The sequence below is a fragment of the Homo sapiens genome, chromosome 14, assembly GCF_000001405.40.
Source record: "Homo sapiens chromosome 14, GRCh38.p14 Primary Assembly".
Lineage (NCBI taxonomy): Eukaryota > Metazoa > Chordata > Mammalia > Primates > Hominidae > Homo > Homo sapiens.
In genome coordinates, this window is record NC_000014.9 from 79908998 (window position 1) to 79922870 (window position 13873).

The window sequence follows — 13873 nt, forward strand, 5'->3', positions numbered from 1 at the left end:
TTCCTTGAATTTTAGAGATAATATTTTTCTTTCCCTTTTTGAACTGTTTATCTCCTGGTATTTCTTCATTATATAATGCTTACTCTATTCCATTATCATTTCCATGGAACTGTGGTTTGGATGTTGATACCTGAACAATTTATTTTGTTGTTTGAGACAGAATCTCACTGTCACTCAAGCTGGAGTGCTGTGGAGTGATTGAGGTCCACTGCAATCTCCACATCCTTGTGCTCAGGCGATCCTTCTACCTTAGGTTCCTGAGTAGCTGGTACTACAGGTGCATGCCACCATGCCCCGCCAAGTTTTGTATTTTTTGTAGAGATGAGGTTTCACCATATTTCCCAGGATGGACAATTTCTAAAGAGTTGGCCAACCTCTTCCCTGCCTGAAAGGCAACTTGATAATCATCTCAGACTCACTAGAATGTCTGCAATTTATATTACATATAAATTAAGAGTAAGTACATTTTTGAGGTAAAATATAAGGCTGAGAAAGCCACATTTAAATAACCCCAGGTGAACATCTCTCTTTAGTTATCAGTTTTTAAAATTATTCCCTTATTAAAATCTGAGGTAAATGAAGGCACGAAGGGTCTCTGCCACTTTGATCATTAATTATCTGCTTTTCTTCCCCAGATAATGAAAGATAATCTTTTGCCTTTTGGTTTTCTTTCATTTGTATATTAAAGAATGCTTTGCCTGAATACCTTTGACACATTGCATTTCATATCCTGCTTAGCCTTTTGTGATCCAGAGAGCTTGGCTTTTCTTCCTTAGAAGGCCCATTTACTTAGAGACAAATGATATGAAATAATCAGCAAAAATGGCCTTGGGTGATAAACATGTGCCTATGCTGTTCATCTTCATGCCCTTCAACTCAGTGCAAATTAATTTTCTATCCATTAATTAAATCATTAGCTCCTTATGGGCAGAGAGTACATCTGTCTCTTTTTCTTCCTCTCTCTCTCCCTTCTCTGTCTCCTTTTCCTTGGTGCCTAGCAGAGTGCAATATACATCGTGAGCACATTGAGAAAAGGGTACTGGCATACTTTGGAGAAATAGTAATATAATAATAATAAAACCTTCCATTCTCTTTTCTAGTTTCCTAATCTAAACTCTGTATCTTTCTATCAATCATTCTTATGGTCCCCCTCAGCTCCCTTCTTTTCAATTGTATTCTTCCCCTAAGAAAATGAACAAACCAATGTCAATTTTCACGTGGCAATCTCATGCATTTCCATGGCTTTATTTACTATGCATGCAGGTGACAGCCAGATCATTCCATCAATCACAGAGGTAAATTCCCATGAGTCCCCAAGATGCCTCGATTTATTATCCTTGGACTATTCCCTTTGAGAGATTTATCAGAGAAAGGGTATTTCAGAGAAACCTAAAAATCCTTGCATTGAGGTTCACTCAATCATTCAGACAGTCTAAGGAATCATATTTGTGAAGGCTTTTGATGCATAGAATAATGCATAGAGAGAAATAAAACTCACACTGGACTTACACTAGTGAGAAGGCCATGATTATAGTGATTAAAAATGCAGTGATTCAGATTCAGTCTAGGTTCAAATCACAGCTCACTGATTACTGACTGCGTGTGGGAGCCAGTTTCTGAATCTCATATGAAACAAAACAAACAAACAAACAAAAAGAATACCAACCTCATAGGTCTGCTAAGAATTTCAAATGAGATGATATTTATAAGGAAGAAACCTCGAGAAGTATCTGGAACATGCTGCATCTTCCTAAAACTGTAACTATAGTTATTCTTAAAGGTTGCAAAATGGTTAATTTCATTATGAGGAGATTTGGTATCACAGTTCCAGAGGTACTTTTAGTTAAGTCATATTTTAAAAAAATACCCCTACTGAACATGGTGGGGAGCACATATTATCAGATATCAGTGGTTCCATTTTGCCACCTCCAGCATTATCGAGGAGTTGGGGAATGTTCAAATTGCACTTTAACTCTCTCAGGATTAAGAAAAAAATATATAACCTGAATGATAGGCTATAGGTTAATTAGTTCAAAAGCCAACGGAGTACTTGATTTTAAGTTCAACTTGAAAATTTAAATTTATTTCTCAGTTCAGTGGACTAGTAATGTTAATAGCTAATATTAATTGAGCGACTCCTTATGCTAGGCACTTGATTTCCTAGCCTAGATATTTCTTCATTTAGAAGAGATTTCTTAGAGTCCCTGGGACAATGATCTTTGGGTAGGCAATAACTATCATGCTTTCTCCTCAAATTAAAATTCAAATCAAGCTCTCCTTTGACTTTGGGTATGCCAACACCTGGCAGCTACATTGACATCCATGTCTCAGCAGGCCATTTATAACTCTCTAATTTTCCCATCTCTCTGATGGCTGTATTTTCATGAGTTCCTCACCAATGTGTAAAGCCTTTAAAGTTTAGTGGATGTGCATAGTCAGATGAGAATTTTCAGGGACCAGCTGTGCTACTGTGATGGTCATTTGCACCACCACTGGGACATTTCTTCTTGTCCAATTTTTATCTATGTGATGACAAAGCAGAGGAAATATTGGATAGTTAAAACTGTTAACACAGAATGATATAGCTGAAAAGCTTATAAATAGAGTAACAGGCTGCACAGGACTAAAAGCAATAATTTCATCATGGGAAAGTTGCCTAAAGGTCTTATTTCACATTCTGATGATGTAGCAGATCTAGACACCAGCATTTTAGAGTAATACCTGAACTGCCAAACATTAACCAGAAATCATTGTCCATGATACAGGTAGCAATCTATCATCGTAAATGTCACTATAGGGAAGACCTAAAAGCCAAATAAAACAAAAAAAGACGAGACACAGAGCTCATCCAACTGAACTTTGCTCTCCAGAGGAATGGTAAATTCAGATTATAATTGGGTGACTTCTGCTTTTTACAAGTTCTCAAAAACTTCTCTGGCCCTGGGTGGTGGTGTTACGGCCCTGCATGATTACATATCACATCCCATTACAACACAAGCAGTCTTTGGATGACATAAAAGTTTTGCAACTTTTAAATCATGGCCCATGTTTTTCAAAAGATAAGCTCAACATGATAAAATTTCAAAGTAGCACCAATAATAGAGTTGGATTCATTCTCGGAATCAGTACTAACTAAATAAGCTCTCTCTCTTGAGTTTATTTTTTATTTTTTTTGCAAATAATCTTTCAAATAAAACCAAAACTAATCAAAGATCACAAGCTAAATACATGAGCTTCCACTTTTGATCTAATATCCTTATTTCTATCAATGATATGATAAAAATGTCATATTAATTTTTTTCAAAATAAAACTTAAATATAATGCTTATCTGATCAAAAAGCCTCCAGGACACTTGTCCCAGAAATAAAGCCTAAATCATCAGCAGAATGTTTAATTTTCCTAAGTGACCCCCAACTTAACTTTCCACACTTTTTTTCTACCATTTCCACATACCTCCAAAATTCATACCTAAGTCACAGCCACATGGATCAGTTGCTATTTCTCCAATGTGTCATATACTTTTTCTTCTCTGTATCTTCTGCTTAAAATGACTGACACTCTTCTGCATAAACAATTCTAAATTATCCTTAAACCTCAGCTCAACTACAACTAACAGAACTTGTTGCTTTTTCCTCTATCTGTACACAGTGCCTATATCAGACCTGCCACATTGTGCTGGCTTCTGACTGTATCACAGACAGCAATCAACTCTATTTTGTCTTTGTATCTCCAGCACTCAAAATATCATTTGGGAGGCAGTAAACAATAATTTATTTTTTCTTAATGAATCATTCCCAGGACTACTGTGTACATCAGGACATCTAGGGCCCACAATTCAGATAGACTGTGATTTAAATAGAAACCTTGCAGTTGTGAAGTGTACATTAAGAACAACCTTACATAGCAGCGTGTCACTCACTCATGCTAACATATTTATATTCTTGCATGATAAATTTTAATGTTTTCTGCATGCCCTCCTCCATCAGTTGTGGAATCCTAACAAGTCAGTATAAGCTAGGTTTTGCTGCAGTAACAAGTACCCAATTTCAGTACTTTGATATACAAAAGTTAACTTCTCACTCATACTACATGTCTGATACAGTTGGCAGGAAAACTTCATAGTCCATCAGGGAACAGAGCTGACAGAGGTTCCACCTTGACACATGAATTCATAATCACCGAGGCATTAAAATCAGAATGCAGCAGATTATGTACTAGTTACTAGAGCTTCTATTTGGATGTAGCACACACACTCCTAGTCATACTTCACTAGCCAAATGTAATCAAGTAGCCGTTAACTTCAAAGGTGCCAAAGGAAATCCAATTTTACCATGTGCTATAAAGAAAAGAAAAACATTTAAAAATGTCTTTATTGACAGGTACAGTCAGCTCCTTAATATCTCACAATTTCTCCTATTCATACTCCATTTAATTGTTTTAACTCTTTTTTACTTCATCCTTGGACTATTGTAGCAGCTCACTTAACCTTCCTGCCTTCTTTTTCTTTATCCCACTTTGCCCTCAGCCCTTCTCCCTATAACCAACAGGTTAGCCACCCTAAAGCGCAACTCTTTACTTCTTTCAAGAAGGTATTTTTAATTAATACCTTTAGTGATTCCCCACCAACTATGAAATTAGGCCCCAGTTTCTTCCTTCATTAAATCTTTCCTTCCATTTATTCCACAAACAGCATTGACTACTTAAGAGGGATGAAAAACCATATGAAACTCTGAAAGAACAAAGAAAAATAGTTCCTGGACATAATAGACCTCATCGTTAGATAGGGGAGTTGGCCACAAAGAAAATGAGGGCAAGTCAGTGTGATGAGCTTGATGCTAAAGTGGCATAGTTCAGTGGTAACATCAAGGAGAAAATGACTTTGATGGGAGATCAGTGAAGGCATCTCTGAGGAGGAGATGTTTAAGGTAGTTCTGGGATTTTGAACACATGTTTTCCAAGCAAATATAGTTGGAGATAGAAGAATGGAGGATGGATGAGGAACATGGAGGCATAAAAGTTAGGTATGTTGCAAGAAATACCAATGTTTCTATAAGCTGGAATTGAGGTTAGTGTGGTGGTGGGATAGGAAGAGTTCTGAGGGGATAGAAAGTACAACTGAAAAGAGAGATTGAGACAAATTAAGAAACAGAGAAGGCTTAAATGTTAATATTAAGGAGTCTGGCTTTTTGTCCTTTGGGAAATGTGTAATTATTGAATAGTGAGCCTGAGAAGAAGAAGACTTGGTGTGGAAACATTGGCCACATTCAAGTATGTTAAGTGCTGTCATTCATGAGGACAAATCTAGTTTTAGTAGCTCCAGATTGCAAACTGTGGAAATTATAAAAAGTACCAGATTTCAAGTCAGCTGGAGAAAGAACGACTTGAGGTGCATTTCATTGTTGTATGAAATTTCCAGTAAAATGTTGGATATTTTGCATTTTATAAATGTTTTTTAAATGAGTGAAATAAGTTATAAGCATTAGATTGATTTGGCAAAAAAATGTGTAAAGAGGCTGAAGCTTTGATAAAATTGTAATGAAAACTAGAATTTGGAATTTAAGATGCATATCATGGAAAAGTAGGATGCAAATGTCACTATTAGTGCGTATAAATCATGTTGGAGCTCACCAAGCTCTGATAAATTAATACAATTTTCCCAGGTAGCTACCTGGAACTACCTACTGGTAGCTGTTTTACAAATGTAGGTTGCTTTACAGTTTAGATCTCATTTCATACACTCATCTCACTCAATCCTCATAATAGTCTTCAGTGCTTAGAATTGACAAGTCAGGAACTCATCCAAGACATGTTAATTGGCTTGCCAAAGACAGCAAAACCTAAAGTGGAAGAGGTGTGACTTGAACTCACATTTACCTGTGCTGTTTCTGATATTTATACCCATTACCCAAAAGCTACAGGAAAACCTTGATTTCAGTTCCAGGAACTTACATTTGAATTAAAATTTACTGCCGAAACTAGCTCAGTGCTTTTCAGGATGATCATAATGCAGATACTAACTAATGATTTGCTAACAATGGAGGTAGACATAATCTGATGGGATTGATCAAATGTGGCTCCGGTTGCCCCAGAAGTAATTTCCATAGACTACACAGAGAACCTAATTATGTAAATCACTCGAGAGATCCCCAACTGACCTTCTTGACAAGAACTAACCAGCAGTGATCAGTGGGAAGAAAAATAAAATTGAAACCTGGATCATTTCCTCAGACAAATCTAGAGTTGATTACACCACCATTTGAATTTGGATGCTGCAGCTCTGACTGGGAGCTATAACATGTTGATTCAAACTCTCTAAATGGGCTGATGTATAGATTTACCAGGAAGTAAACTAAAAAGAGACCTGTTTCTGTATGACCTACTTTTATGTTTATTAAAATTTGAAATGTTTTTTAAAGTGTTGATAAACTTCAACTGGCAAGGAAAAAAAAAGTCACCCTGTATTTTCTAATCAAGGAGGATTAAAAGGCTGTGAAACTATATCCAATGCACAAATGTTGTAATTGCAATAAATATTTGTCCTTTCTGTTTTCTCTACAAACTCAAAAATCCTAGAGTCTGTGTTTGGCACATTCGGGAGATTACAGCCATCTGCTGGGAGACAAAGCTGTCAATTACAAAGCAATCTGGCTTTCTGTTCCATTCCATTTCCAGGTTAAATATGGCCCAATTGAGGTAGGATCTTTTTATTATTATTATTACAATTGGAAGCTTCTTGGTACTGTCCAACCTTTGACCCTATTCTCAGGATCCCAAGAGAGATTTACATGTCTCTGAACTTGGAGTTTGCAACACAAGGTCAACCATGTCTTATACAAGCCGTTTAATAAGGTAAACCACTCTTAGGCAGGGCTCTGAGCTCGTTAGCCAACTTGAACACAAGATGAGGGTTTCATTCAATTAAAGTGTGCTTTAGCCTGAGGAGGAAAATCATAGCAAATAGAAACTAATAAATAGAGACAGGGGTATCTTCTGTTTGCTGGGGTGATGAGCATTTAAAACAGAGGCTTTAAGGATTGAAAACAGTACAAAAATGCTCCATGAAACATGGAAATTAATAGCCAATTTAATAATGTAAGATTCGGCAACATTGAGGAGGGACAGTTCAAAACCACAGCAGAAATATTTTAATAGAAGAGGCAGTTGGCCCTAAAACTGCGGACACTAAAGACCTAATGGAAGTGAATTAGCCTTTCTTTCGGCCAGATTCCAAGCCTGAAAATTCACCCTGTTTCCTTTAATTCTTCCTGCAGTTTTACTGGAAACAGTTACCTTGTGTTTTGTCCTAAAACAGTTAAATTGCCTTTCAACAGACTTTTCAGAAAATCTTGTGTTCCTCAGCAGGAGTGGAAACAAGAATTGGCTTTTAAGCAGACATGTAAAAGTAGAGAAGAAAATTTTTCTCATCTAGATCTGTGCTTGGGTCAAGCCTGAGGGCACCTCTAAGGAGTCATTGAAAGCTAATAATTAAGAATCTGTTTATATAGCACTAATCACATGATTATCTGGAAGAATTCTCCAGCAAGACCATTAGTGACCAGAGGGAAGTGAAAATGATCCTTTAAATTTTCCCAAGTGCACCTGATTCCTCACCTCAATTCAATTCACACCCATATCTTGCATTTCAAAATAGTGACCTAATCTTGGTCCATAATTTTACCCACTGACTCTTGCAATCAAGGGGGATAAAAGACTATTTTACAGGTGAAGAGCCCACTGGAACCTAATTGAAAAATTGCTAATACTTCTCAGTTAAATATTAACATACTTATGTAAAAGGATTCAGTTTAAAGGAAATTGGGTAATAATTAAGGGCATCTGGCTCTAGCTCATGGATGCAGCTTTGGCCTCTGGGTTCAGTAAGAAGGTTAGGTTGGATTTCAAAGTCATCCTCAACTTTCCAGCTGACCATATTCTCCCATATGGTGACCACTTACCATCACAGGATCCCTAAAGCCGTTATTTCATTTGCTGTTCTTCTCTCTGGCTTCTCTTACCCAGCCATCAATATTTATGTGTCCCAGGTCTGCTTCTGTCAACTGGGTTAAATGTTAATCTCATAGTGAGGATCAGCTGACTAATCTTACTGTCCAGCACACCAGTTCTTAGCTTCAGTGTCATATTATACTGCTAGGTCATAAGCAACTGTGAGGTTTGTCACAATCAACTTGACACCTTTACAGAGATTCCTCTGGTAAAGGGCTTTCAACTTCAGTGCTTTCATAGATATAAATGAAGCTTCACTGCAAAAGTATATTAACATTTTTGTCTCCAACAAATGGGATCAGTGATCCTGCAGATAAGTGTTAAGAAAGATCAGGATTTGCCATCCCAACATTTGCTACTTTGGCACAAGTATTATTCTGAACTGAAGGCAATTGAGAATCAACAGATGCAGGAAGAGTTCTCTGCCCTCCCCTTATCTACCTAAAAACAGGGCATACATTTCCCTTTGTGAAGGTACCCCCATCTTACCAGAAAGTGAAGACCAACTCTTATCATTGGAGATGGAACATTTATGCAGAGATGAGTTTCTATAAACAAACTGAACTAAAATAACCCTTATCTTTCATTAGTTCCACAAGATATTTCCTAGTTACTTTCCCATGACTTATTGTCCTTTGAAGCCCAAATCTCCTTTCCTTTGTTAAAGTGGTATATAACCCCTGAGTTTAACTGCTTCTTTGAGTTTCACTTATTTTCTATGACTCTAGTATACACATAAATGTTAATAAAAAGGTATGCCTTTGCCTTTTCTCCTGTTAACATGTCTTTTATTAGTTTAATTCACAGGCCCCCAGTTACTGAGCCTAAGAAGGCAGAAGAAAAATCTTTCCTTCCTGACAATGTCCAGAAATTAAATTTCAACATTGTTTGCCCAAGATTAATATAGGAGGAGGAGAGAAGTATATTTGAGACTGTAAAGCCTACATACAGTAAAGTTACTGTTGCTGAAAATTTTTCTCAGAGCTATGAATTATAGTTCAGACTCAAGGCTATTTGCACATCATAAAGGCGAATGTCAAGGAAGAGAATGATGATAACCAACGAAGTTTGTAGAGGACATGAATTCCCTGTGTGGCACCCACTGCTTAATAACCTACAATATCTATTATCTTTTTCTTTCTTTTTTTTTTTTTTTTTGAGACGGAGTCTCACTCTGTCGCCCAGCCTGGAGTGCAGTGGCGCGATCTCGGCTCACTGCAAGCTCTGCCTCCCGGGTTCACGCCATTCTCCTGCCTCAGCCTCCTGAGTAGCTGGGACTACAAGTGTCTGCCACCCTGCCTGGCTAATTTTTTGTATTTTTAGTAGAGACGTGGTTTCACCATGTTAGCCAGGATGTTCTCGATCTCCTGACCTCGTGATCCACCTGCCTCGGCCTCCCAAAGTGCTGGGATTACAGGTGTGAGCCACCGCACCTGGCCCAGCTCTATTATCTTTTTCTTATTCATAACTATTAATTCCTTATCAGGTCTTGTTTTATTCAGGACCCCAGTGTTTAACTGTTTAGGCCAGTTAAAATAATTTTCCCCCTCAGACTCCCTTGCAACTAAGAAATTATGTGGCTTTGTTGTCACTAAGGAGGGGAGGCTTCCAGGCAGGGAATGAGAATGCTACTGTTTTCCTGTCAAAAAGGAATAAATTCAGCCAGCATGAACATCTTGCTGTTTATTCTTCTCTTATTTTTTCTGCTAGAATCAAGACAAAATGTCTGGAGTCTAGCAGCCATTTTACAATCATGAAGTTAAAAGGTACAAGCTAAGGGTGGTGGACCAGCAGGTAGAAGGAATCTAGTTCTTTGATGACTTCCTAGAGCCACTGCACCAATTTTGGACTGCCACCTCTGGAATTCTTGTTATATAAGAAAAATCTTTATTTGCTTCAGCTCTTGTCAGGGTTTCTATTGCATGCCACCATCACAATTCCAAGTGACACACACTGCTATTGATGACATATGTTTGTTTTGGTGAGAAAAGGGCTTAAAAGGTCTGATTTTAAAGCTGAAGGATCAGATTTTAAATCTGCAGGATCAGCTCACATTTCTCTTCAGGAACACGTACTGGATGAAACAAGTTAATTTTTTCCTTTGTAGCTATGGATTTATAAAAATAAAAGAAGAAAGAAGAAGGCTTACATAGAGACATTTTGGCTATTTATTTTCTTTGTCAAAGAGCTAAGATTAGGAAATTATTTCTCTCTATATCAATTAACACTCACTGAAGAATATTTCCTATAATAATGCCTTCCTCCCTCCCTCCATTGTCCGTGGAAGTTTGCCAGTTACAATAGAAGGGTGGAGCTCCAAGTAACAACTTGGAATTGGGCACAGTCATGAACACACCTTGGAAGTCTATCTGGTTTGAGAATATCCTTGGGCATATTTGCACAGGGAAATAGTTTTAAACTGCTGGAAATAATAAAGTCAGCTGGTATTAGTTCTCTGAATTGACACACTTCAATTTTTATAATCTATCTTTAAAATGCAAAATCTTGATCCAGCAAAGTGCTGTGGGGGAAGAAGAAGGTGAATATTTGGGGGAATTGCAACTTTTCAGTATTCTTCAACATTTTCTCTACCTCCATGGCTAAGCTCTTCTAGCATATGAATGCTACATGGAGTCTATGCTGGTGGAAAAGCTAAAGGAGGAAAAAGATGTGACCTTCTTTACAGTACTTTGATTATGCATCCTTAAGCTCTCCTCAGTAGGTCTGCTTGCACAGTAGTCATTCCTTAGAAATCCTGCCATCAGGTAGAGATTCTATCATCAGTTTTGTGACTTGGAAAATTCCATTGCTGCCTCACTGTCACTGGCAGGAACCACACTCATCAATCAGCATCACTTCCCCAAAGCTCTGTTTGCAATCAAAAGGACCAAAGGTCTCCTTGTTTATAATTATGCCAGGGAAACACCCCGCTAGAACTAGATCCACATGGGATCACCAGCATCACACATCCTCACCCCAACACCCAGCTCATAAAGAATACACACTCTTCTGTTGCCTAGAGAGAGCTTAGCAAGCTGCTTAATAGCTACACAGAAACCCTACACAGAACTGAAATGCAAAGGCATGTAACGGATCTGATAGAATGGCAGGGGAAATTTCAGATGGCAGAATGTAATTACCTAAGTTACTGAGGTTAAATAAACACCACACTCTCTTATCTAAAAGATGTCCACGATCTTCAGTATCCATAAATGACCTGGATCTTAGTTTTATAACTCCATGGTTGAGAGGGAGGCAATTCTCCAGCAGCACAGGAGCCTTTCGCTTGGAAACTCTTGTTTCTCATCCGGCACCACCTGTGTGTCCCCTTGGCTGCCCCCCAGCCAGGTGCTCATGCAGCCAAACCCAGTGAGCCCATAAAAGTGGCCAGAGATGCAGCAGAAGGTGTCGGGCTTTCTGGCCCCTGGTTGAGGCCATCTGGACTCTCCGTTACACCTGTTTGGGAGGGTTTCCGTGGCATGATTTACAAATGTAAATGCAACTCTGGAAATATTCCTGTCCAGTGCGTATCTCTTGCTTTCACTTTTGGAGGAGTTAATTATGCAACAAGATCATTTCTATGCCCATTTTCCTCTTCCATTATAAACTTTAGATGGTGAAAAATGTGCTTCTCAGTATTTTTTTAGTGAATGAACAGATGTAAAAGTGCTTTCAATTCCTTAATAAATGTGACATTAGGCCAGATTTGATATTACACTAAGTCTCACATAACATTTAAAAATGGGTTTTTTCAACCATAAAATTACTAATTGATCTGTCTTGTAAAAAGATAAAGGAAATGAATGCCTATTTGAGTTTCATTTCTGTCAGGCTCCCGATTTCTTATTTTATGTAGCAGAAAATGAATTTTAATGAAGCAGCCTCCAAATTTCAAAATATGCCATTACCCTTCCGAAGTAATTGGCATATTTGACTGCCTTTGCCTTTCTTAGAGTCTGTCTGACATTCTAATCTTGAAGTCAATGTTCCATTCAAGATGTTCTTCTGCATACCATCTGAAAGAAGTAAATTAGAACAAGGGGAAGAACTACAACAGAAAGCACTCATTCATTTAGGCATTCAAGAACTTATATATGGAATCCCCATTGTATATCAGGCACTGTTTCAGATGCTACAGAAGACAGTAGAGGGCAAGATAGTGAAAAATCCCTGCTCTCATGAAGTTTCTATTTTAGTAGAGTGGGATAATACAAAAACATAGACAAATACTGTATGCAACATCCAAGTGATAATCAATGCTATAAGGAAAAATAGTGCACTTTAATGGGTAGGGAAGGGCAGAAGAGAGGACCGTTGTATATAATTTTTTATAGAGGGAAGCCCACACAGACTTCTCTAGGGAGATGATGGTTGAGCAGAAACCTGAATGAAGTGAGAGAATGACCCATACTGGGAAAGAAAATCAACAGATAGAATAATCTTTCTTCTATATTTTTTGCCCACTTGGTATGTATAAGGAGAAAAAAAATGGCTTTTTTCAAAGCAAGTCTAGTTATTTTGTCTAATCTGGGAGGATACTGAGTGGGTGAAGGAGGAAGGCAACTTTGATTGAGTACCTACCTATCATGCCAGAATATGCATCATTTATGCTTTTCATAAATGTGTGTGACAACTCTCTGAGGCTGATGATCTGAGCCTAATTTTACAACTGGGGAAGCAGAAGCTTAGGGGCAGGTAGCTTGGTAGTAGAATGTTTCTTCTTTTCTTGTTCTTCTTCTTGTTCTTCTTGTTCTTGTTCTTCTTCTTCTTCTTCTTCTTCTTCTTCTTCTTCTTCTTCTTCTTCTTCTTCTTCTTCTTTCTTCTTCTTCTTCTTCTTCTTCTTCTTCTTCTTCTTCTTCTTCTTCTTTCTTCTTCTTTCTTCTTCTTTCCTTCTTCTTCTTACATTTATATAGAGACAGGGTTTCACTATGTTGTCCAGATGGTCTCGAACTCCTGGCCCCAAGGGATCCTCCTACCTCAGCTTCCCAAAGTTCTGAGATTACAGCCTTGAGCCACCATGCCTGGCCTATTTATTTTATTTGTATAAATTTAAGGGATTCAAGTGCAGTTTTGTTACATGGATATATTGTGTATGGTGAAGTTTGCACTTTCAGTGTAACCATCACCAAAAGAATGTACATTGACTACTTTTAAGTAATTTTTCATCCCTCAACTCTCCACCCTTCTGAGACTCTGATGTCTATTATTCCACACTCTATGTCTATGTGTATACATTATTTAGCTCCCACTTGTGAGTGAGAACAAGTGGTATTTGATTTTCTGTTTCTGAGGCGTTTCACTTATGATAACAGCCTCCAGTTCCATCCATGTTGCTGCAAAAGACATGATTTGTTCTTTTTTATGGCTGAATAGTATTCCATGGTGTGTGTGTGTGTGTGTGTGCATATACACCTATACATACATACATATATATCTTCATATATATATACACATACACTATTGTGAATAGTTGTTGCTACATTACAAACTTCTAAATTCTATGGCTTAAAATAAGAGCAATTGCTTGTTTTTCTTATGAACATGAATTGTGGGCAATAATTAATAGAAAGGGCTGAATCTGCTCCATGTGGCACCAGTTGAGAGCACACCTTGAGGCTGGGTGATCAATTCCCAAGACAGCTCCCTCCATGGCTGGCAAGTTAGTGCTGGTTATTTGCTGATAGATCAGCTGGGCTTGAAGGCCTGTAGGCCTTTATTTCTCTCTATGCTGATTGGACTTCCTCATAGCATGGTGACTGGGATTCTAGGGCAAGTGTTCTAAGAAAGAGAACAAGGCAGAGGAGTATTGCATTTATGATACACTTGCAGTCTTGGAAGTCTCATCAACCCAGCTCTGCATCTCACTAG

At 37.9% G+C, this 13873-nt stretch overlaps 1 long non-coding RNA gene across 1 annotated transcript in view; it reads right to left on the bottom strand.

The window, feature by feature from the left end:
- LOC105370582 (uncharacterized) overlaps window positions 1–8145 on the bottom strand; it is a 42877-nt gene extending 34732 nt beyond the window's left edge. The window contains exon 1 of the long non-coding RNA XR_944054.3: window positions 7957–8145. This is a non-coding gene — a long non-coding RNA (uncharacterized LOC105370582). The remainder of the gene's footprint in view (window positions 1–7956) is intronic.
- Window positions 8146–13873: the final 5728 nt, after the last annotated feature.